General features: G+C 45.9%; 1 protein-coding gene across 1 annotated transcript, besides 6 other annotated features; it reads left to right on the top strand.

Moving 5' to 3' along the window:
- Positions 308-841: an enhancer, noted in NCBI's record as "H3K27ac-H3K4me1 hESC enhancer chr16:11946068-11946601 (GRCh37/hg19 assembly coordinates)". NCBI's record gives its function as "activates a minimal SCP1, AML or CMV promoter by ChIP-STARR-seq in primed H9 embryonic stem cells {active_cell/tissue: H9 hESC(primed)}" and the evidence as "EXISTENCE:reporter gene assay evidence [ECO:0000049][PMID:30033119]".
- Positions 842-1,376: an enhancer, noted in NCBI's record as "NANOG-H3K27ac-H3K4me1 hESC enhancer chr16:11945533-11946067 (GRCh37/hg19 assembly coordinates)". NCBI's record gives its function as "activates a minimal SCP1, AML or CMV promoter by ChIP-STARR-seq in primed H9 embryonic stem cells {active_cell/tissue: H9 hESC(primed)}" and the evidence as "EXISTENCE:reporter gene assay evidence [ECO:0000049][PMID:30033119]".
- Positions 842-2,348: a biological region, named in NCBI's record as "BRD4-independent group 4 enhancer GRCh37_chr16:11944561-11945760".
- Positions 1,149-2,348: an enhancer, noted in NCBI's record as "BRD4-independent group 4 enhancer chr16:11944561-11945760 (GRCh37/hg19 assembly coordinates)". NCBI's record gives its function as "activates an origin of replication core promoter dependent on BRD2, P300/CBP, MED14 and CDK7 cofactors, and independent of BRD4, by STARR-seq in HCT116 cells {active_cell/tissue: HCT116}" and the evidence as "EXISTENCE:reporter gene assay evidence [ECO:0000049][PMID:35650434]".
- Positions 1,394-1,580: a silencer, noted in NCBI's record as "fragment chr16:11945329-11945515 (GRCh37/hg19 assembly coordinates)". NCBI's record gives its function as "represses an EF-1alpha promoter that drives an FKBP-Casp9 reporter gene in an ReSE screen in K562 erythroleukemia cells {active_cell/tissue: K562}" and the evidence as "EXISTENCE:reporter gene assay evidence [ECO:0000049][PMID:32094911]".
- On the top strand, positions 1,510-19,202 carry RSL1D1 (ribosomal L1 domain containing 1). The gene is made up of 9 exons (NM_015659.3): positions 1,510-1,644; positions 2,634-2,773; positions 5,246-5,384; positions 6,209-6,357; positions 6,450-6,551; positions 11,052-11,145; positions 11,232-11,357; positions 13,067-13,357; positions 14,939-19,202. Exons 1-9 carry the CDS (start codon positions 1,540-1,542, stop codon positions 15,263-15,265), a joined length of 1,473 nt encoding a protein of 490 aa, NP_056474.2. The 5' UTR covers positions 1,510-1,539; the 3' UTR covers positions 15,266-19,202.
- Positions 14,430-14,615: a silencer, noted in NCBI's record as "fragment chr16:11932294-11932479 (GRCh37/hg19 assembly coordinates)". NCBI's record gives its function as "represses an EF-1alpha promoter that drives an FKBP-Casp9 reporter gene in an ReSE screen in K562 erythroleukemia cells {active_cell/tissue: K562}" and the evidence as "EXISTENCE:reporter gene assay evidence [ECO:0000049][PMID:32094911]".
- Positions 19,203-23,766: the final 4,564 nt, after the last annotated feature.

Genomic DNA, 23,766 nt, shown 5'->3' with positions numbered 1-23,766 from the left:
AGGCCGAGGCAGGTGGATCATGAAGTCCAGGAGTTCAAGACCAGCCTGGCCAGGATGGTGAAACCCCATCTTTACTAAAAATACAAAAATTAGCCGGGCGTTGTGGCGCGTGCCTGTAATCCTAGTTACTCGGGAGGCTGAGGCAGAGAACTGCTTGAACCCGGGAAGCGAAGGATACAGTGAGCCCAGATCGTGCCACTGCACTCCAGCCTGTGCGACAGAGCGAGACTCCATTACAAAAAAAAAAAAAAAAAAAAGGAAAAAAATTAATTAAACCCATCCAACAAGAGAAAGGAGAAGTATCTCCTAAACATGCCTAGAACATCTCTGGAAGGTTCCAGGAGACACTGGTAAGGGTACCTCTGGGGAGGCGGGTGGAGTGGGAGGAAGACATTACAAAGCAAACCTGTCCTACCCAAGGGCCGCGTGCGGCCCTGGAGGCCAGGCTTTGAATACAGCCCAACACGAATTCGTAAACTTCCTTAAAGCATTACGAGATTTTTTTTAGATTTTTTTTTTAAAGCTCGTCGGCTATCATTAGTATTAGTTTTATATATGGGCCCAGGCAATTCTTCTTCCAGTGTGGCCCACGGAAGCCAAAAGATTGGACTCCCCTGTTCTAAGGTATTCCATTTGTCAGTTATCCAGCCTCCACTCCTAACCTGTTTGTTTAGCGACAAGGTCTCACTCTACTGCCTACGCTGGAGTGCAGTGGCGCGGATCAGAACTCACCGAGCCTCGAATTCCTCAAGATCCTCCATCCTCCGCCTCCCAAGTAGCCGGGACTACAGGCGCGCACCACCACGCCGGCTAATGTTTATAATTTTTGGAGAGACGGAGTCTCGTATATGCACGGACTGGTCTCCAACTCCTGGAATCCCTCCGCCTCGGCCTCCCAGAGCGCTGGGATTCCAGACGCCAGCCACGCGCACGACCAGCCACGCTTATTTGTACAGGATCTTACCTCCCGCCTCTCTGCGAGACCAGAAGCTCCTAAGAGACTGGCCCAGACTCATCTTTCGGTCCCTCATGCTGCTTAACGTGGCAGGTCGGGTGGCTCCGGGTGGCTCCCGTGCCTTATATTTCAGGGACTCCTCACCAGCCTGGGGTTGGCGTCGCCTAAAGTCAACGGGCAGGTGGGCAGTGGAGCCAGGATTCCGCGCTCTGCCCATGCCACGCGCGGCCTTCCCGGAGGCGGGGACCGTGGAGTGTGGAGGACCCCACTGGGCCTCCTGACGGGACTCTTCTCTCGCCTCAAGGCGCTTTCTTGATTTCTATCTAGTAAGAGTGAGAGGACACCCAAGCTACTCCCCACAGCTCATGGAAAGCTGGAGAAAAGCGGAAGAGCAGGTGCCTCCTCAAAGAAGGGATTCTGACAGCAGCCACTGCCCCGGAGAGCGAAACCCCACGCTCTCCCGGAAATGACGCACAGAGGCTCGGTTCCCGCCCCCTCGCTTCCGGGGCCGGGCTTGCTCGCGCGTGCGCACCAGAAGCCAGCAGTGGGGTTGCACACGCGCCTCTTCACGAGGTGGAAACAAGATGGAGGATTCGGCCTCGGCCTCGCTGTCTTCTGCAGCCGCTACTGGAACCTCCACCTCGACTCCAGCGGCCCCGACAGCACGGAAGCAGCTGGATAAAGAACAGGTGAGTGGTTCCTGGGGAGGGTGGCTTGGAAGCAGTGTGGCGGTTACCTCGTGAGGCGCAGGGTGCCGGAACCCGAGTGCGTGCTCGGCGGACTTCCCCGGGGCTGTGGGACGGTCGCTGGCGGGCCGTGTGCCTCAGCTGTCTCTCCCCTTTACACACGTGGGTGGGCGCCTGCTTTCCCTGGTCCTGCGGCCTGGCGCTAGTGAATTGGGTTGCAAGTGTGCTGTGGAGCTAGATGAGATAGACCTGGCGACCTGGCTTAGCTTCCCTATCATTAGCGCTTGACCGAATCGCTTAGTTTTGCAGGTCTGTTACCCGTTATTTAAAGTGGGCCCTTCGGCTCCCCGTTATCCAGGATCGGGAGAGGTAATGAGTGTAAAGCGCTTTGGCCTGGTACATGGTAAGAAGGTGCTCAGTAGGCCGGGCGCGGTGGCTCACGCCTGTAATCCCAGCACTTTTGGAGGCCGAGGCGGGTGGATCACCTGAGGTCAGGAGTTCGATACCAGCCTGGCCAACATGGTGAAACCCCGTCTCTACTAAAAATACAAAAATTAGGTGGGCGTGGTGGCGGGCGCCTGTAATCTCAGCTACTCGGGAAGCTGAGGCAGGAGAATTGCCAGGAGTTCTCAGTAAATGCTAAATGCATTTTGCTTTGCGTTTTTCCTGGGATTACTGCTTTCATCATTGAGGGCAGGAGGGGCACGTTTCCCTCTAGCCCAATCTCTTTAAGTAGAAGAGGTGCCCTTCTGCACACAGTACTGGAAGTGGGTACTTAGGCATGTTTGATGGATTCTTAGATTTCTGTGAATATAAACTGCAGGATCCTAATAGATACGGTTATGGAGGTTACCCCTTGAAATAGAAGTTGGAAGGGAAAAAATAGAAGGTGTGGGAGGGGGCAAATGCTAAATTAGATTGAGAACATTTCATTTATTTGTGTAAGTTATTGTGAAAACATTTCACTTATTTGTCTAATTTCCACTTTGCAGGTTAGAAAGGCAGTGGACGCTCTCTTGACGCATTGCAAGTCCAGGAAAAACAATTATGGGTTGCTTTTGAATGAGAATGAAAGTTTATTTTTAATGGTGGTATTATGGAAAATTCCAAGTAAAGAACTGAGGGTCAGATTGTAAGTTGTGATTTTCTACCTTTGCTGTTTTTATCTGTGTGTTTATTCTTTGTAACTCGAACAATTGCATCATGGTTACTAATGGAAACTTTGCAAACTTATAATAAAAATCTGACGTGAAGTAAAACAACTATGTCCAAAAGAACCATAGAGGCTTGATGTGGTGGCTCACACCTGTAATCCCAGCACTTTGGGAGGCCGAGGTGGACGGATCACCTGAGGTCGGGAGTTCAAAACCAGCCTGGCCAACATGGTAAAACCCTGTCTCTCCAAAAATACAAAAATTAGCCAGGCATGATGGCGGGTGCCTGTAATCTCAGCTACTCGGGAGGCTGAGGCAGGAGAGTGGCAGTGAGCGGAGATGTCTCCATTGCACTCCAGCCTAGGCGACAGAGCAAGACTCTGTCTCAAAAAAATAAAAAATAATAAAAAATAAAAGAACCGTAGAAATTCAGATGTGCTAAAATTTTCTAGAAATTTCACCAGTTTTCTTAGAGCTTGGTGGACAGCTAACGTAATCAGGTCTGTTGAATCGAAAACGTGGTGTTCGAAAGAATAAAGGTGGAATAAGTTAAACAGCTTTATTTTATTTTATTTTTTTATTAGAAACTGTTATCTTTCCATGTCAAGCAAAAATTCTTTGGGGCTACAATTTATTCCTTTGTACAGAGACTATTAAAAACTGCAGTGAATTTCTGTCTATGGAAAAGAAATCCATGGTGATTATACAGAATGCTTCTTCAGAACATAGGTTGTAAGCATAAGAAATGAGTTAAACCCTTGTATTTTATTTTCTGTAAGATGTGGCATAATTGTGTTTGCTGGTCCCTCTTGGTTTAGTCCATGTTTTTGGTTTCGATTCTTTTATCTCTCCTTTTTTTTTTTTTTTTAAGAGACGAGATCTTGCGCTGTTGCCCAGCTGGAGTACAATAGTGAGATCTGTGTTCACTGCAACCTCAACCTCCCTGACCTGACTCAAGTGATCCTCCCACCTCAGCCTTCCAAGTAGCTGGGACTACAGGTGCACACCACCATGCCTAGCTAATTTTGAAATCTTTGTGGAGATGAGGTTTCACTGTGTTCTCCAGGCTGGTCTCGAACTCAGGCTCAAGCAGTCCTCCCTCTCAGTCTCCCAAAGTGTTGGGATTACAGGCATGAGCCTCCATGCCTGGGCTGTTTCAATTCTTAAAAGTTATGTTATGCTGGGCATGGTGACTCATCCCTGTAATCTCAGCACTTTGGGAGGTGAGGTGGGTGGATCATTTGAGGCCTGGGAGTTTGAGATCATCCTGACCCAACATGGCGAAATCCCATGTCTCCTAAAAATACAAAAATTAGCCAGACATGATGGTGGGCGTCTGTAATCCCAGCTGTTTGGGAGGCTGAAGTGCAAGAATCATTTGAACCCAGGAGGCAGAGGTTGCAGAGACTCCAGCCTGGGCGACAGTGAGACTCCCATCTCAAAAAAAAAAAAAAAAGTTATGTTGGCTGAGTGTGGTGGCTCACACTGTAATCTCAGCAGTTTGGGAGGCTGAGGCAGGTGGATTGCTTGAGCCCACAAATTCAAGACCAGCCCAGGCTATGTGGCGAAACCCTGTCTCTACGAAAAATACAAAAATTAGCTGGGCCTACACCCAACTGGTACGTGCCTGGAGTCTCAGCTATGCTGGAGGCTATCGTGAGCTATGATCACACCACTGCACTGCAGCCTTGGGTACTGAGCAAAACCCTGTCTCAAAAAAAGGAAAAGAAGAAAGAGTTATTATGTTTATGGAGCTAAGAGTTTTAAAGAAGGTAAAATTCTGAACCAGGCTTGTCCTGATTAAGCTAGGTTTTTATAGCGCATTACAGTACGTGTGCACATACAGCAACATATGTATAATAATTATATATGCAAGCATTTGGAAGTCTTTAAGTATATTTTAATTCTTGTTGTATCCCAAGTGTTAATTGATATTTGGGCCTGTGTGTTTTTGTGATTTACTTGCCATTGAAAGTGAGTTTTGTTTTTTGTTTTTGTGTTTTGAGACGGAGTTTGCCTCTTGTTACCCAGGCTGGAGTCCAGTGGTGCGATCTTGGCTCACTGCAACCTCCACCTTCCGGGTTGAAGCGATTATCCTGCCTCAGACTCTCAAGTAGCTGGGATTACAGGCACCTACCACCGTGCCTGGCTAATTTTTTATAATTTTAGTAGAAACAGGGTTTCACCATGTTGGCCAGGCTGGTCTTGAACTCCTGACCTCAGGTGATCCATCTGCCTTGGCCTCCCTAAAGTGTGGGATTACAGGCTTGAGCCACTACTACCGGCCATGAAATGTATTTTTAAGTGTTGTTCTTGGTGCATTATTTGCTTAACTAGCATGACTAAAAGTTATTTAAATAACACTAAGTTTATCGCGTATTCTGTGTGATACAAACATGCATAATGTGTGTAATAATGCTTTCCTCGGTTTCTTTTCACGTATTTTGTAGGACCTTGCCTCATAGTATTCGATCAGATTCAGAAGATATCTGTTTATTTACGAAGGATGAACCCAATTCAACTCCTGAAAAGACAGAACAGTTTTATAGAAAGCTTTTAAACAAGCATGGAATTAAAACCGTTTCTCAGGTAGGAAGCCTGGTTAATATTTTCAAGTTATTTAGAGGATTTAATTCAGGCGAAATGGTATCACAAATACATTGCTATATTTCCTAGTATTTTTCTTCTACTTTTCTCTTTTTAATTTAATTTGTGGTGGCGTGTACATCAGTAGCTTTTATATCTTGCAAATTATAAAAGAGGTGGCTCGTGTCATTCCTCTGTACTTCCACAGCATCTTGTTTTTCTCTGATTTGCTGTTTTGTAGTTGGTGTACTTGTCTTTATTACCCTCTGGATCTAAGGTATCTAAGTTTTTTTGTTTGTTTGGAGTCTCGCTCTGTCGCCCAGGCTGGAATTCAATGGCAGGACCTCGGCTCACTGCAACCTCCACCTCCCAGGTTCAAGCTATTCTCCCACCTCAGCCTACCGAATAGCTGGGATTACAGGCACCTGCCATCATGCCCGGCTAATTTTTATATTTTTATAGAGACGAGGTTTCACCATGTTGGCCAGGCTGGTCTTGAATTCCTGAGCTCAGGTGATCCACCCACCTCGGCCTCCCAAAGGGCTAGTATTACAGGCGTAAGCACATACAGCAACATATGTATAATAATATATATATGTTGCCCACCTAGATCTAAGTTGCTTTAGCTGGGGTCTTTTCTCATTTGTCTCAGTGTTCCCAGCATGTAGCGTAGTGCCTGGCACATTTTAGGCCCTCAAGTGTTCATTAAAGTATAGAGGCATGGCTCTAGGACATTTTTAAATCCAAATCCAAATTGTTGCCTAAGTATTTCTTCTCCTTGTTTAGATTCCTAACTTCTTGTTTTTATTCTTCTCTATACTTCCTAGATTATCTCCCTCCAAACTCTAAAGAAGGAATATAAATCCTATGAAGCCAAGCTCCGCCTTCTGAGCAGTTTTGATTTCTTCCTTACTGATGCCAGAATTAGGCGGCTCTTACCCTCACTCATTGGGAGACATTTCTATCAAAGAAAGAAGTAAGTTTCTTAGTAATGACTGGACTTTAGCAGCATGAAGCTTCTAGGTGTGTATGCATTGTGTTCTGAATGCCTGTGTGTTTATTTTGTAGAGTTCCAGTATCTGTAAACCTTCTGTCCAAGAATTTATCAAGAGAGATCAATGACTGTATAGGTGGAACAGTCTTAAACATTTCTAAAAGTGGTTCTTGCAGGTAGGTAAAAGGCATTCATGTGTGCCTCTTTTAATCTTGTATTTGACAATGATTTTATATATACTTATTCGTTTTGTTTTGTTTTTTGTTTTTGTTTTTTTTTTTTGAGATGGAGTCTTACTCTGTCTGCCAGGCTGGAGTGCAGTGGCACCATCTCGACTCACTGCAAGCTCCGCCTCCTGGGTTCACGCCATTCTCCTGCCTCAGCCTCCCGAGTAGCTGGGACTACAGGCGCCTGCCACCACGCCCGGCTAATTTCTTTTTGTATTTTTAGTAGAGACAGGGTTTCACCGAGTTAGCCAGGATGATCTCGATCTCCTGACCTCATGATCCGCCCGCCTTGGCCTCCCAAAGTGCTGGGATTACAGGCGTGAGCCACTGCACCTGGCCTTTTTAAAAAGATTTTGTTAATGGCTCCAGATCCTTTTTTAAAACTAAAATCTATTCCTCAGAAGTGATCAATTCTCGGGTCAGGTGCAGTGGCTTATGCCTGTAATCCCAGCACTTTGGGAGGCCTAGGCAGGAGGATCGCTTGAGCCCAGGAGTGCAAGACCAGCTTGGGCAACATAATGAGACCCTCTCCCCCAGCCAATTACAGAAAAATCAAGAACATTAGTCAGGTGTGGTGGTGCATCCCTGTGCTCCCAGCTACACAGGAGGCTGTGGCAGGAGGATCACTTGAGCCTAGAAGGTCAAGACTGCAGTGAGCCATGTTCTTGTCACTGTTCTCCAGTCTGAATGACAGAGCAAGACTGTCTTTAAATGAAAAAAAAAAAAAGTTCAGTTCTCTAGAACAATGTTGTCTGATAGCACTTTCTACTGTGATGGAAATGGCCTGCATCTGTGCTGTCTCATACAGTAGGCACTATTTGTATGTAGCTATTGAGCACTTGAAATGTGGCTACTGTGTTAGAAGCTGAATTTTTAGTTAATTTAAAATAGGCACATGTGGCTAGTGGCTGATGGTCACTGCATTGGACGGGGCAGCTCCAGATACTAAGAAAAGCAAGGAGAGTAAGATGAATGCTTGGAGAACATGACTAGTTCTAGGCTTTGAGCTTGTCCTTTATCGTGCCACTGCACTCAGTGGTGCAGTCACAGTTCACTGCAACCTCCAACTCCTTGGCTCAAGCAATCCTTCCACCTCAGCCTCCTGAGTAGCTGGGACTACAGACACACATCACCATACCTGGCTAATTTTTCAATGTTTTGTAGCGGCGGGGTCTCACTATTTTGCCCCATCTAGACTTGAACCCCTAGACAAAACCGGTCCTCCTGTCCTGGCCTCCAAAAGTGTTGAGATTATAGGCGTGACCCACCACACCTGGCCTCAGATTGTCCTTTAAAAGCACCATATTACCCCTTAACGTGAAGATCCACCTCATTCTTGGTTTAACTTCCTATTAAATGAATTCAGCACTTATCCTGTTCATCTGCCTATTTGGTGTGTGTGTTGTCATATTGGTTTAACCTTACCCTGGATACTGAGCTAGGCGGAGCCCCCACACCTAGTCTTACCTACTAGAACAGATGTTTTAGGGCAGTGATTGCTTCCAACCTCTGGCTGAGCAAAGGATGCGGTTCAGGCTATTTTATTAGGCTGAGAAGTGACTTAAGTTTGTATTATTGGCAGTGTATCAGCTTGGGGAGGTAGGGCAGGTTTTAAATGTATTGAAAATACATTTTATGAAGTACTGCACTTGCTGACTGCGGTGTGGAGATGGCTAGCTGCCAGTAAGGCAGAGCTGTAGGCCACTGCCCTTCCACCCAGAGATTCCCCAGGAGCCGTGCAGACCCAGTGGACACAGTCGGCAGAAAACAACACAGACTTCTTGCCTCTGCTCACCAGGGAGGCCTGACCCCAGGGGAGTGTCTCCAGGTAGAGCAGAGCAGGGTACTGGTGGGCAGGACAGGTGGTCTCTGGTGTTGTCTTTAGCCTGCTGCTGGGAATCCCTTCATCAGGTGTAATGAAGTAGCCTAGAAGAGTTGGTCACGGAGCCTAGACCCCTACCCCTTTGGTTAAAGGCTAATGTCAAAGTAGTGGCTCATGGAAGTGGTTGGCTAGAAGTTCAGGCCTTGTTTATGGGACCCATGAGTATCTGGGAGAAGAAGATGGTACCATGAAGGCAGGTAAAGGAGCAGCAGTCTCCTGCCACTGGGGATTTTCCAAGGCAAAAGCAACAGCTTAAAGAAAGTTGCAGACAATTGAGAAAAAAAGAAATCATTCTTTATTTCCTCTCTTACCTTTCCCCAGCAAAAGAATTTATTTTCCTCTTCCACTTCTGTTCCTCTCCCTTCTTCCCCCCCACCATCTTTCCATCTGGGATGCTCAGGTGTGCTTGCAGGCAGGTGGTGACAGGCACAGGGAGTGGGCAGTGCCCAGTCTTTGGCTGAAGAGAGAGAGGAGCAACAGTCCGTCTCATTCCTCATTCCGCAGACACTGTGCCGACAGTGAGCCTTCCTTCTGGCTCACTTCCTTCTGGCCCCAGCGCTGAGCCCTCCAGGCTTCCCACTGGGCTTCTGCCTGCACTCTGTTTCACCTGAAGGGATGGTCTTGCTCGTAGCTGAAAGACACTATTCCACCAGGGACAAGAACTATTTACTCTTTTTTTTTTTTTTTTTTTTTTTTGAGACAGAGTTCTTGCTCTGTCGCCCAGGCTAGAGTGCAGTGGCTTGATCTCAGCTCACTGCAAGCTCCGCCTGCCGGGTTCACACCATTCTTCTGCCTCAGCCTCCCAAGTAGCTGGGACTATAGGCGCCCACCACAATGCCCAGCTAATTTTTTTGTATTTTTTTAGTAGAGACGGTGTTTTACCATGTTAACCAGGATGGTCTCGGTCTCCTGACCTCGTGATCTGCCCACCTTGGCCTCCCAACGTGCTGGGATTACAGGCGTGAGCCACCACGCCCAGCCACAGAACTATTTATTCTTGAACATGGCGGCTGGGTAGAGCAGTAGAACTATAGAGAGAGCAGGTGACCCTCCTGGAGGTAGGTCCCTTTAGAACAGCTTGAAGGCGGACTCAGCGACATGGGGTTGTCTAAGATAAAGGTAGAACCTCCTCTGGCCCTGCCTCCCAATGCGCCTAACCTCACAGTCAGGTGCTACCAGCTCTTTAATCACTGCCTCGGCTGGGCATGGTGGCTCACGCTTGTAATCCCAGCACTTTGGGAGACCGTGGCAGGTGGATCAGTTGAGGGCAGGTGTTTGAGACCAGTCTGGCCAACACAGTGAAACCCCATCTCTACTAAAAATACACAAATTAGGCCGGGCGCAGTGGTTCACGCCTGTAATCCCAGCACTTTGAGAGGCCGAGGCAGGCGGATCACCTGAGGTCGGGAGTTTGAGACCAGCCTGACCAACATGGAGAAACCCCGTCTCTACTAAAAAAAAAAAAAAAAATACAAAAAATTAGCCGGGCGTGGTGGCGCATTCCTGTAATCCCAGCTACTCGGGAGGCTGAGGCAGGAGAATCGCTTGAACCCAGGAGGTGGGGGTTGCAGTGAGCCAAGATCACGCCATTGCACTCCAGCCTGGGCAACGAGTGAAACTGCATCTCAAAAAAAAAAAAAAAAAATTAGCTGGGCGTGGTGGCATGCGCCTGTAATCTCAGCTACTAGGGAGGCTGAGGCAGGAGAATTGCTTGAACCCAGGAGGCGAAGGTTGCAGTGGGCCGAGATCACGTCACTGCACTTCAGCCTGGGCGACAGAGCAAACTCCATCTCAAAAAAAAAAAAAGTCACCCCTTCATGATGTGACATTTTACTTTAGGTAGAAGGAATTTCTAGTACATGAAAGATGATAATCTTCCTTTAAAACATATTTAGGCTGGGTGTGGTGACTCATGTGTATAATCCCAGCACTTTGGGAGGTTGAGGCAGGAGGATCACTTGAGCCCAGGAGTTCCATACCAGCCTGGTGGATCACTTGAGCTCAGGAGTGAGAACCCATCTCTACAAAAAATACAAAAATCAGCTGGGTGACCTGTAGTCCCAGCTACTCCGGAGGCTGAGTTGGAAGGATTACTTAAGCCCAGTACGTTGATTGTGCCACTGCATTTCAGCCTGGGCGACAGGAAAACCCTGTCTCAAAAATGAAATAAAATATATTTAGAACCTAAAGATTTTAATGGGATTTTTTTGTTTGTTTTTTTGTTTTGTTTTTTTTTTCAGACTGTGTTTTTCCCTGTTACCCAGGCTGGAGTGCAGTCGCCAGATCTGGGCTCACTGTATGTAGCCTTGAGCTCCTGGGCTCAGGTGATTTTTCTGCCTCAGCCTCCTGAGTAACTGGGATTACAGGCATGTACCACCATGCCCAGTTAATTTTTGTTAGTGTGGTAGAGACAGGATTTTGCCATGTTGCCCGGGATTAATATTTCTACCTTTTTAAAAGAAAAAGAAAAACTTGAGGATTATGTATTTATATTTCTCATATACCTGCCTGGTTTATTTTGAAAAATGGTTTTTTAAAATCTTGTCTAATACTATATTAAATTTCAGTGCTATACGTATTGGTCACGTTGGAATGCAAATTGAGCACATCATTGAAAACATTGTTGCTGTCACCAAAGGACTTTCAGAAAAATTGCCAGAGGTACAGTATTACAGGTGCATCAATTGATTGTTCATTTAAAAGAAACAAAGTATATGTAGACGATGTTACTCTTTTCTTTGTTTCAGAAGTGGGAGAGCGTGAAACTCCTGTTTGTGAAAACTGAGAAATCGGCTGCACTTCCCATCTTTTCCTCGTTTGTCAGCAATTGGGATGAAGCCACCAAAAGATCTTTGCTTAATAAGAAGAAAAAAGTTAGTAGAATTTTAAATACTTACAGAATGAATAATGAAGGGTGTAAATTCAGTCACTAGGAGAGAAGTAGACCATCATCGCTGCCCGACTTTTCAGTTATCTTCTGGTTTTGTGGTGGTTGTGCTTTTGTCACTTTACATGAGGTAAAATGGGTATGCTTTTGTCACTTTACATGAGGTAGTTGATGTTAGTAATGCGCATTAAGATAGAAATATCTTGTATTTATTGATAAATTGGATTTTTTTTTTATTTTTGTTAGATCCAGTGCTTGCTGGGTTTTTTTAGAGAGACAGGGTCTCACTCTGTCCCCCAGGCTGGAGCACAGTGACGTGATCAAGGCTCACGGCAGCCTTGACCTCCTGAGCTCAAGCAATCCTGTTTCAGCCTCCCGAGTAGCTGGCACTGCAGGCATGCTTCACCATGCCCAGCTAATTTTTAAATTATTTTTTGTACACACATGGTCGCCCTGTTTCCCAGGCTGATCTTGAATTCTTGAGCTCAAGCGATCCGCCTGCCTTGGGCTCCCAAAGTGCTGGGATTACAGGCATGAGCTACTATGCCTGGCCTGGATTAACTGGCTTTTGAGGGGGCCTGAGTTAAGTTCCTACCACATATTTCCGGTCATAGAAACATCACCATACTTCTAAATAAAGACCAAAACATTTAAAATATTAAACATTGAAATAAATGTGAGCTATATATACATTTGAAACAGTAATAAAAGGAATTGACATAATTATTTACCCAGTTATTCCCATCCACGGTTGTAGGTGGCTGGAGTTTAATCCTGATAGCTCAGGGAAAAGGGTAACAGGCAAGAGCCAACCCTAGAAAAGGCGCTGTTTCATCACAGGACAAACTCATACACCTACATTCGTTGGGACTGGGACTGGGATAACTTCAACACACCAGTTCACCTAATGTGCACGTATTTGGATGTCGGAGGTTATGCTCACAGATACCTCCTGAGCTTGGTTTGTAGGTTTTCAGTATTACTCGTACTCTAGCAAAAGAAGCTTTCGGAAGGAGAGAAAATTTAATTTTTTGCTATTTGTTAGACTGATCTCCTAGTGTTTCTCTCTTTAGCCATGTTAATTGTGTCCAATGAATTTTTAATTTTGTTTTTGAGACAGAGTTTCACTCTGTCGCCCAGGCTGAAGTGCAGTGGCATGATCTCAGCTCACTACAACCCCCCGCCTTCCAGGTTCAAATGATTCTCTGTGCCTCACCCTCCTGAGTAGTTGGAACTACAGGCACGTATCACCATGCCCAGCTAATTTTTGTGGTTTTAATAGAGATGGGGTTTCACCATGTTTACCAGGCTGATCTCGAAGTCCTGACCTCAAGTGATCCTCCTGCCTCAGCCTCCCTGAGTGCTGTGATTACAGGCGTGAGCCACCGCGCCCAGCTGAGTATTATTCTTTACACTCTAAACCATACTGTGTTTCACAAAAGTCTCTTAACTGTATACTTTAGATAGTCAGATTCTGAAATGCCGGTATATAATTTACTGCATAAAATGCATGTTTGGCTGTGAGTCAAAAACTGCGGTTGAGGTTCCAGTGCTGGTTAGGGAGTTTGTTCTCTGTATAGATCGAGGTCCATTTAGGGGCTTATGGATAATCAAAACTGCACGTGGTACATCTATGCCGTTTGTTAACCAACAGAACTGTTCCTGCTAAAATGTTTGTATGGTGTTTTTTGGTAGGAGGCAAGGAGAAAACGAAGAGAAAGAAATTTTGAAAAACAAAAGGAGAGGAAGAAGAAGAGGCAGCAGGCTAGGAAGACTGCATCAGTTCTTAGTAAAGATGATGTGGCACCTGAAAGTGGTGATACTACAGTGAAGAAACCTGAATCAAAGAAGGAACAGACCCCAGAGCATGGGAAGAAAAAACGTGGCAGAGGAAAAGCCCAAGTTAAAGCAACAAATGAATCCGAAGACGAAATCCCACAGCTGGTACCAATAGGAAAGAAGACTCCAGCTAATGAAAAAGTAGAGGTATTGTTTTAATATTTACTGTTCATAATGGATTGGTTCAGTGGCTACTGTGTCAGGCAGGTACTGTGCTGAGCAATAAATGATGAAAAATACTAGAGTGAACCCAAAGAACTGTGAAGGTGGTTATCATATCATGATTTATTGTACCTTTTTTTTTTTTTTTTTTTTAGATGGGATCTTGCTATATTGCCCAGACCGGTCTTACACTCCGGGGGTCAAAACAGTCTTCCCACCTTGGCCTCCCAAAGTGCTGGGATTACAAGTGTGAGCCACCACACCTAGTCCCAACCGGTTGGCTTTTTTTTTTTTTTTTGCTTTGCTTTTTTTTGAAGATGGAGTCTCACTCTGTCACCCAGGCTAGAGTGCAGTGGCATGATCTCAGCTCACTGCAACCTCCGCCTCCCTGGTTCAAGCAATTCTCCTTCCTCAGCCTCCCGAGTAGCTGGGATTACAGGCGCGCACTACCATGCCCAGCTAATTTTTGTGTTTTTGGTAGAGACGGGGTTTTGCCATGTTGGCCAGGCTGGTCTTGAACTCCTGGCCTCAGGTGATCCGCCCGCCTTGTCCTCCCAAAGTGCTGGGATTACAGGCATGAACCACCGCACTCAGCCACCAGTTGGCTTTTACACAGAGAATCTGGGAACCCTTGCCCTACACCATGTGCCAGGGATGTGCAGCTACATTTGGAAGACTCAGGATTTGCTCCCATGTGTCTCTGCTGTGCTCCTCATGGTGCTTCCAGGATTCCCTCCCCTCAGTCATAGGGAAAGGTGGTTTTCCTCTGATTGGACCAGGAAGACCTCTGGGTCTTCACAGTTTTTTTTTGTTTTTTTTTTTTGAGACAAGGTCTCACTTTGTTGCCCAGGATGGAGTGCAGTGGCATGATCTCGGCTCACAGCAACCTCCACCTTTCGTGCCCAAGCAATTCTCGTGCCTCAGCCTCCTGAGTAGCTGGGATTACAGGTGTGTGCCAACATGCCTGGCTAATTTTTGTATTTTTAGTAGAGATGGGGTTTTGCCATGTTGGCCAGGCTACTCTTGAACTCCTGGCCTCAAGTAATCCACCTGCCTCAGCCTTCCATAGTGCTGGGATTACAGGCATGAGCCACCTCACCTATACCTCATTCTTAATAGTGGAATACAGCTTATTTCTGTCATCATACTGAGGTGTACCTTTTGGGGGTTAACTAATAAAAACAGTAACTTGGCCATGCGCTGAAAAACAGTAACTTGGCCGGGCACAGTGGCTCACGCCTGTAATCCTAGCACTTTGGGAGGCCGAGGCAGGTGGATCACCTGAGGTCAGGAGTTCGAGACCAGCCTGGCTAACATGGTGAAACCCTGTTTCTACTAAAAATACAAAAAATGAGCCGGGCGTGGTGGCACACACCTATAATACCAGCTACTCGGGAGGCAGAGGTTGCAGTGAACTGAGATTGTGCCATTGCACTCTAGCATGGGCAGCAAGAGCGAAACTCAGTCTGAAAAATAAATAAATACAAATAAAAACAGTAACTCCTGGAGTTAGAGTGTCAGGTTTTGTGGCTTTTTCTATATTAAACTTACTTTTTTTTTTCTTAGATTCAAAAACATGCCACAGGAAAGAAGTCTCCAGCAAAGAGTCCTAATCCCAGCACACCTCGTGGGAAGAAAAGAAAGGCTTTGCCAGCATCTGAGACCCCAAAAGCTGCAGAGTCTGAGACCCCAGGGAAAAGCCCAGAGAAGAAGCCAAAAATCAAAGAAGAGGCAGTGAAGGAAAAAAGTCCTTCGCTGGGGAAAAAAGATGCGAGACAGACTCCAAAAAAGCCAGAGGCCAAGTTTTTCACCACTCCTAGTAAATCTGTGAGAAAAGCTTCCCACACCCCCAAAAAATGGCCCAAAAAACCCAAAGTACCCCAGTCGACCTAAAGTCAGTGATTCAACTGGAAGGAAACCTCAATGCTGCCTCCAGAGCTTTTTGGAAATACTCAGATCCTGGCCGCCTTTGTAACCTTCTCTAAACGTCAGGCCTGGACTTAAAAGATTTTTTAAAACCTCCATAAGTAGTCCAGGGGCGGTGGCTCACGCCTGTAATCCCAGCACTTTGGGAGGCCGAGGCAGGCGGATCACAAGGTCAACGAGATCGAGACCATCCTGGCCAACATGGTGAAACCCTGTCTGTACCAAAAATACAAAAATTAATTGGGCATGGTGGTGGACACCTGTAATCCCAGCTACTAGGGAGGCTGAGGCAGGAGAATTGCTTGAACCTGGGAGGCGGAGGTTGCAGTGAGCCACTGCACTCCAGCCTGATGACAGAGCAAGACTCAGTCTCAAAAATAAATAAAAATAATAAAACCTCCATAAGTAATCCTGACATATGTTCCTGGGTATAATCTGTTTCTAAATTGTCCTTCTGTGTATTTGCTAATGTAATAGAGGGAAAAATAGAGTGCTTCTCTGTGGTTGTTCAGCACTTTAGGTAGCCAAGGTGAGAGGATTGCTTGAGGCCAGGAGTTTGAGACTAGCCTGGGCAACTTGGTAAAACCCCATCTCTACAAAAGAAAAAAAAAAATTAGTGTGGCATGGTGGCATGCATCTGTGCTCCCAGCTCCTCACGAGGCTGAGGTGGAAGGATCAAGTGAGCGCAAGAGGTTGAGGCTCCAGTGAGCCACGATCACCCCACTGTGCTGTAGCCTGGGTGACAGTGTGAGATTCTGTCTCAGAAAAAACAAAGTATAACATTGCTTTGCTTCTGAGTATACTGTTGGCTTTCCAAATCAGTGGGTCTGACTTGAGGTCTGTGATGTGACCCTTTTCCTCACCTGCTCAACCATTATTCACATGGACTCCATCATATTCATTTGTAGTCATTCCCAGAGTGGCCCAGTGAGGGTCTCGCTGTATGAGAGTCGGCTACGGAATTTAGGAGAAACAGAAGTTTCTTGGCTTTCATGCTGAGCTTGTTGGTCTAAGCTTATGAGTCACTGGATTAGCATCCATATGGGAAGGGAAATTAACATGGAGTCATTTATACAGGGACTAAATTGAATCCTACCTACCGGAGGCAAGAACATGATTTATCTTCCATAAGCCTTATCCTCTTCCTCCTTATTCCTCAGTCCATATGGATTTGCTTATGTATGACAACTCCAAGGAATCTTGGAAGAGTAGATTGCTAACGTTTCCACAATTGTCAAGTATATTCTGAGGCAGTAAACACCTTTTTAGGTACGTGGCCTTTCACTGGTTGTGAATTGGTATGCATCCGTAGTAGTAAGTTCACAGATTCACTGCAGTGCAGGAATGTTCTTGCATGCCAAAGACTCAACTGCTTTCAAAGATAATGTGGGTGCTAGATGCAGTGGCTTACATCTGTAACCCTGTTAGGGTGACCAGACCCAACACCAGGTCGTGGGGGTGACAAAGTCCAGTGGAGTCAAAGGATTGAGAAAAAGACAGTTTGAGAGAGAAGTAGGACCAGCAGACCATCGGGATGGTGGAGGCTGTGAAGGCCGTGAGCTCTGGGAGCCCACACTATTTATTGGTAATCCAACAAAGAAACAGATGGTGAGAATGTGAAGGTCAGAAGGGCACCTTGCATTAAGCACATGATTTACAGCTGTGATGGTTTAGCATTTGCTCTGCTACTTGAGATGATGGAGAGCAGGTTCTTTTAACTCAAGTTACAGTCGATCCTGGGAGAGCAAGGAGCCAGCAAGTCTAGACATTCCAGAGCCACAGGCCCTGGATTTTATCCAAGCCACGAGGGATTTTATGCCCTGGGCTTAGATTATGGTGCGTCAGGGCAGCCTTCCACCCTTTAGCACAGAGCTTGGTGTTCCAAAGACCACAAGGGGTTTTAGACCCTTGACCCTGGACATATTCCAAGACTCTTTTACATTATGTCAGAATGCAAGCCCTGCCTCAGCTTCTCCCAACACTCAGCTTTTCGCAACATAATCCCAGCACTTTGGAACGCTGGGTGGATTGCTTGAACCCAGGAGTTCGAGACCATCCTGGGCAATATGGCAAAACCCCATCTTTACCAAAAATAAGCTGGGTGTGGTGGAACATGCCTGTGGTCCCAGCTTCTTGGGAGGCTGAGGTGGGAGGATTGCTTGAACCCGGGAGGTAGAGGCTGCAATGGGCCATGATCACGATCCTGCACTCCAGCCTGGGCAACAGAGAGAGACAGTCCCTGGCCCACTGCCCCCTTCCCTGGCCCAGTCTCAAAAAAAATGAGGCTGGGCGTGGTGGCTCACATCTGTAATCCCAGCCAAGGCTGGCAGATCACTTGAGGCCAGGAGTTCTGAGACCAGCCTGGCTTACATGGTGAAACCCCATCTCTACTAAAAATACAAAAACTAGCCAGGCATGGTGGGAGGCACCTGTAATCCCAGCTACTTGGGAGGCTGAAGCAGGAGAATCACTTTAACCCGGGAGGTGGAGGTTGCAGTGAGCTGAGATCACACCACTGCACTCCAGCCTGGGCGGCAGAGCAAAACTGAAAAAAAGAGAAAAAAAAAAACATCTAGCTCTCCCTGAAATTAGAGGAGTCTAGCCTGCTTTTGCTGTTTTTTTGGTAGCGAGAGTAGCGGGCAGTGGGGGAGATGGTCTTACTCTGTTCCCCAGGCTGGAGTGCACTAGTGTCATCACAGCTCCAGCCTCAATTTCCTGGGCTCAAGGCGATCTTCCCACCTCAGCCTCCCAAGTAGCTCAGACTACAGGGGCATGCCATCACAGCTGGCCAGTTTTTACGTCTTGCGTAGAGATGGGTTTTCCCTGTGTTCCCTAGGCTGGGCTCGAACTCCTGGGCTCAAGTCCTCCTGCCTCAGCCTCCCAAAATGTTCAGATTACAGGCATGAGGCAGCATGCCAATCCTGTTTTTGCATTTTAGTAACACAAATTGTAATGTTAACTTTTTAAATTATGAAAGCATCTAAAATATAAAATTATTTGTAACCCCACTGTCCTTTTGGGCTTCTATAAATGAATATACATCTAAAATGTGGGGGTTTAGCTTAATTGATTGTTTTCCATAGAAACTAGGTTTTATGGGAAGATGGTTGGATAGACTTGTTTCACTTAAAGGTCTGGTTTGTGTAGGACAAACCCACATATGTAATCGTGCCAGTCTGTTCTCTGCATGACATAATTTTCCAGCAATAGCTGTGTGGTTTTTGTAATCCTATCATCTAGTCAGTTCAAGATCTTGCAACACTGTGTGATTCTTTGCTCCGTAGTTCAGTCTTGTTGAACATGACACAGGTGTTTACTTTCCTGTTCTTGCATCTAGTTTCATTCTAATAATGTTCTCTGTTGAAAAAGCTGGCTTCAATTTATTGAGCAAGATGCTGGTGTTATCATCTAACATAAAACCTATCTTATAATAAAGTGTTGACACATGTAATGAGTACTGTACTGAAAAATGGTGGTATGTATATGGTTTGTACTGATTATGTATCGCTTTTATACCATCAAAAAGTTGAAAAATCATAAAGTTGAATCATCCTAAAATGGGTACATTCTGTACTATGTTTCCAAGGCTTCAGAAGTGTTGCATACACATTCCTAGCCAGCTGATAGTGCTAGGAGCCAACAGTAGTCTCCCCCGGGGGCCAAGAGGAGGGCGAAATCTCTACTATGGTATATGATGTTCTCGTGGGCCAAGTATGAGGGTGATATTTCATTGTTGGCACTGGGTTTCTGGAATCCATCCTCTTCACCAGGGAGATTTAATGAACCAAATGAGATCTGATGGGAGAAATTTGAGTGTAACGTTTTTGTTCTGAAGGAAGTAATTGAGTTTTAGTTCATTTGTTTTTTAGGAATCGTAATAATTAAAATTTCATTTTAAATGCCATGAATGTATTTAAGTCAATCCAACTGTATAATAAACACCACATTGTGGCTGGGCACGGTGGCTCACGCCTGTAATCCCAGCAATTTGGGAGGCTGAAGTGGGCAGATCACCTGAGGTTGGGAGTTCAAAACCAGCCTGCCCAACATGGCAAAACCTTGTCTCTACTAAAAATACAAAAATTAGCCGATACGGTAGTGGACATCTGTAATCCCAGCTACTCAAGAGGCTGAGGCAGGATCCGTCTCAAAAAAAAAAAAAAAAAGTCCAGGCGTGGTGGCTTACACCTGTAATCCCAGCACTTTGAGAAGCCAAGGCAGGTGGATCACGAGGTCAGGAGATCGAGACCATCCTGGCTCGATCTGTACTAAAGATACAAAAAATTAGCTGGGCGTGGCGGCATGTGCCTGTAGTCCCAGCTATTCGGGAGGCTGAGGCAGAAGAATGGTGAGAACCTGGGAGGTGGAGCTTGCAGTGAGCCGAGATCACGCCACTGCACTCCACCCTGGGCGACAGAGCGAGACTCCGTCTCAAAAAATTATATATATAATCACATTGTATTTCAGTCTCCTTGAGAAATACTAAAATGAGGGTACCAAGAAGTTGCTCTACTTTCCGTATACGGGTGTTTAAGAGCCAGGAAATCTTCCCATTTAGTTAAATATTTGAAAGTTCTGCACTCCCTACATTTTATTTTCTGAAATTGTTGCAGTATTTCTTGCCTACAGATAGTATTAATATTCAAAAACCAAGATTCCCAATTTGGACTTTATGAGCCATGAGAAACCTTCATCAATCCTTGAATCCTAAGGAAATTAGTGCAACTGATCAAAGACCATGAATAAAATTTGGTTATGGGGATTATTATTTCAGGATAGTGGTCCTGGAGAGAAAAAATGGCAAATTATTTAGGTGGTTCTACTTAACCCCAGATTATAACATAGCAGTCCAACACTTAAAATGATTAATATCTCCTGTTATATAACTCTGCTGGGTCATTTTCTTATTTTCTTTTTTTTCTTTTCTTTTCTTTTTTTTTTTTTTTTGAGATGGAGTCTTGCTCTTGTCACCCAGGCTGGAGTACAATGGTGCAATCTCAGCTCACTGCAACCTCCGCCTCCTGGGTTGAAGCGATTCTCGTTCCTCAGCCTCCTGAGTAGTTGGGATTACAGGCGCACACCACCACGCCCGGCTAATTTTTGTATTTTTAGTAGAGACGGGGTTTCACCATGTTAGTCAGACTTGTCTAGAACTTCTGACCTCAGGCGATCCGCCCGCCTCAGCCTCCCATAGTGCTGGGATTACAGGCGTGAGCCACAACATCTGACCAGTTGCTACACTTTTAAACTTAGATTGTGCATTTTGGGGGACGTGGTGATGGAAATAATGGGAAGGCTGGCAAATCTCCTACAAGCCGCCCCTTTTCTACTGAATGGAGCAATGGGCCTCAGAAACAGAAATGAAAGAACGTGGCTGGAAGTGGTGGCTGACGCCTGTAATCCCAATATTTAGGGAGGCAGAGGTGGGGAGATGAGGAGTTCGAGACCAGCCTGGCCAACATGGCGAAACCCCATGTCTACTGAAAACACAAGAATTAGCCAGGCCTGGTTGTGCACGCCTGTAGTCCCAGCTACTCAGGAGGCTGAGGCAGGAGAATCGCTTGTGTCTGGGAGGCGGAGGTTGCAGTGAGCCAAGATCGCACCACTGAACGGCAGCCTGGACAACACAGCAAGACTCCATCTCAAAAAAAAAAAAAATGATAAAATGTAACTAACTGTACCCAGCAAAACAAGGACCATTCAAGCAGACCTTAAGAGCTCCTGCTGGGCATGGTGGCTTATGCCTGTAATCCCCACACTTCGGGAACTCGAGGCAGGAAGATCACTTGAGCACAAAAGTTTGGGAACAGCCTAGGCAACATAGCCGGCCCTTGTCTCTACAAATAACTAAAATACTGGCCGGGTGATCAGTCACAGTGGGTCACCCCTGTACTCCCAGCACTTTGAGAGGCCAAGGTGGGCAGATCACTTGAGGTCAGGAGTTCGAGATCAGCCTGACTAATATGGTGAAACCCCATCTCTACTAAAAATACAAAAATTTGCCAGGCATAGTGGTGTGTGCCTGTAATCCCAGCTACTTGAGAGGCTGACGCAGGAGAATCGCTTGAACCCAGAAGGCAGAGGTTGCAGTGAGCCGAGATCGCGCCACTGCACTCCAGCCTGGGCTGGGCGACAGAGTGAGACTCCGTCTCAAAAAAAAAAAAAAAAAAAGAAAAGAAAAAAAAAAGAAAGGATCACATTGTATTTCAGTCTCCTTGAAAATACGAAAATGAGGGTACCAAGAAGTTGCTAAGTGTCATCCTATTCGTAACACCTGGCCAAAAAACCCTTGCTCTATTTTCCATATATGGGTGTTTAAGAGCAAAGAATTCTTGCCATTTAGTTAAATATTTGAAAGTTCTGCACTCCCTACATTTTTTTTTCTGAAATTGTTACGATTTTTCTTGCCTACAGATAGTATTAATATTCAAATACCAAGATTCCCAATTTGGACTTTATGAGCCACGAGAAACCTTCATCAATCCTTGGATCCTAAGGAAATTAGTGCAACTGATCGAAGACCATGAATAAAATTTTGGTTATAGGGATCATTTCAGTATAGTGGTCCTGGAGAGAAAAAATGGCAAATTATTTAGGTGGCTCTACTTAACCCCAGATTATAACACTGCAGTCCAGCACTTAAAATGATTAGTATCGGCTGGGCGCGGTGGCTCACACCTGTAATCCCAGCACTTTGGGAGGCCAAGGCAGGTGGATCACGAGGTCAGGAGTTCGAGACCATCGTGGCCAATATGGTGAAACCCCATAAAAACACAAAAATTAGCCAGGTGTGGTGGCACGCGCCTGTTGTCCCAGCTACTCAGGAGGCTGAGGCAGAAGAATTGCTTGAACACAGGAGGCGGAGGTTGCAGTGAGCCGAGATCGTGCCACTGCACTCCAGCCTGGGTGACAGAGCCAGACTCCATCTGAAAAAAAAAAAGGAAAGAAAAATAAATAAAAGATTAGTATCACCTGCTTATATAACTCAGCTGGGTCATTTTCTTTTTTCTTTTTCTATTTTTTTTTTTTTGAGACGGAGTCTTGCTCTTGTCAACCATGCTGGAGTACAATGGTGAGATCTCAGCTCACTGCAACCTCCGCCTCCTGGGTTCAAGCAATTCTCATGCCTCAGCCTCCTGAGTAGCTGGGATTATAGGTGCACACTACCACGCCCGGCTAATTTTTATATTTTTAGTAGAGACGGGGTTTCACCATGTTGGCCAGGCTTGTCTAGAACTCCTGACCTCAGGCGATCCGCCTGCCTCAGCCTCCCACAGTGCTGGGATTACAGGCGTAAACCACCACACCTGACCAGTTGCTATGCTTTTAAACTTAGGTTGTGCATTTTGGGGGATGTGGTGATGGAAATCATGGGAAGGTTGGCAAATCCTCTCCAAGCCACCCCTTTTCTACTGAATGGAGCAATGGACCTCAGAAACAGAAATGAAAGAAAGTGGCTGGACGTGGTGGCTGACGCCTGTAATGCCAGTACTTAGGGAGGCAGAAGTGGGGAGATCACCTGAGGTCAGGAGTTCGAGACTCAGCCTGATTAGCCGGGCGTGGTGGCTCACGCCTGTAATCCCAGCACTTTGGGAGGCCAAGGCAGGCAAATCAACTGACGTCAGGAGTTCGCGACCAGCCTGACCAACACGGAGAAACCCTGTCTCTACTAAAAATACAAAATAAGCCGGATGTGGTGATGCATGCCTCTAATCTCAGCTACTTGGGAGGCTGAGGCAGGAGAATTGCTTGAACCTGGGAGGCGGAGGTTGCGGTGAGCCAAGATCACGCCATTGCACTCCATCTCGGGCAACAAGAGCGAAACTCTGTCTCAAAAAAAAAAAAAAAAAAATTAGCTGGGCGTGGTGGTGCACACTTGTAGCCCCAGCTATTTTGGGAGCCTGAGACGAGAATCGCTTGAACCCAGGAGGCGGAGGTTGCAGTGAGCCGAGAAGGTGCCACTGCACTCCAGCCTGGGCGATAGAGGGAGATTCCATGTAAAAAAAAAAAAAAAAAAAAAGTATCTCATTATGTTGTCCAGTTTGAACTCCTGGCCTCTAGTGATCCTCCCACCTCAGCCTGCCAAAGTGCTGGGATTATAGGCATGAGCTACTGTGCCTGGCCAGTGCTTATTTTTTCTCTCCAAAATGGGATTAGTATCACAAAATATTTTCATGCCTTCTGCACCCTTTAGTCTGTAAATAAAACCTGTAAATAATAATAATACATATAGTTCCACTTCCAAGCATAAGCACAGTTAATATTTAATATCTTGATTTTTTTACAGTATTTTTTCCTGTGCTTATTTTTCTTTTCTTTCTTTCTTTTTTTTTTTTTTTTTGAAACAGAGTCTCGCTTGGTCGCCCAGGCTGGAGTGCAGTGGCGCGATCTCAGCTCTCAGCTCTCTGCAAGCTCCGCCTCCTGGGTTCACGCCATTCGCCTGCCTCAGCCTCCCGAGTAGCTGGGAC

The sequence above is a fragment of the Homo sapiens genome, chromosome 16 (assembly GCF_000001405.40).
Source record: "Homo sapiens chromosome 16, GRCh38.p14 Primary Assembly".
Lineage (NCBI taxonomy): Eukaryota > Metazoa > Chordata > Mammalia > Primates > Hominidae > Homo > Homo sapiens.
This window is presented reverse-complemented; position numbering and strand designations above follow the sequence as displayed.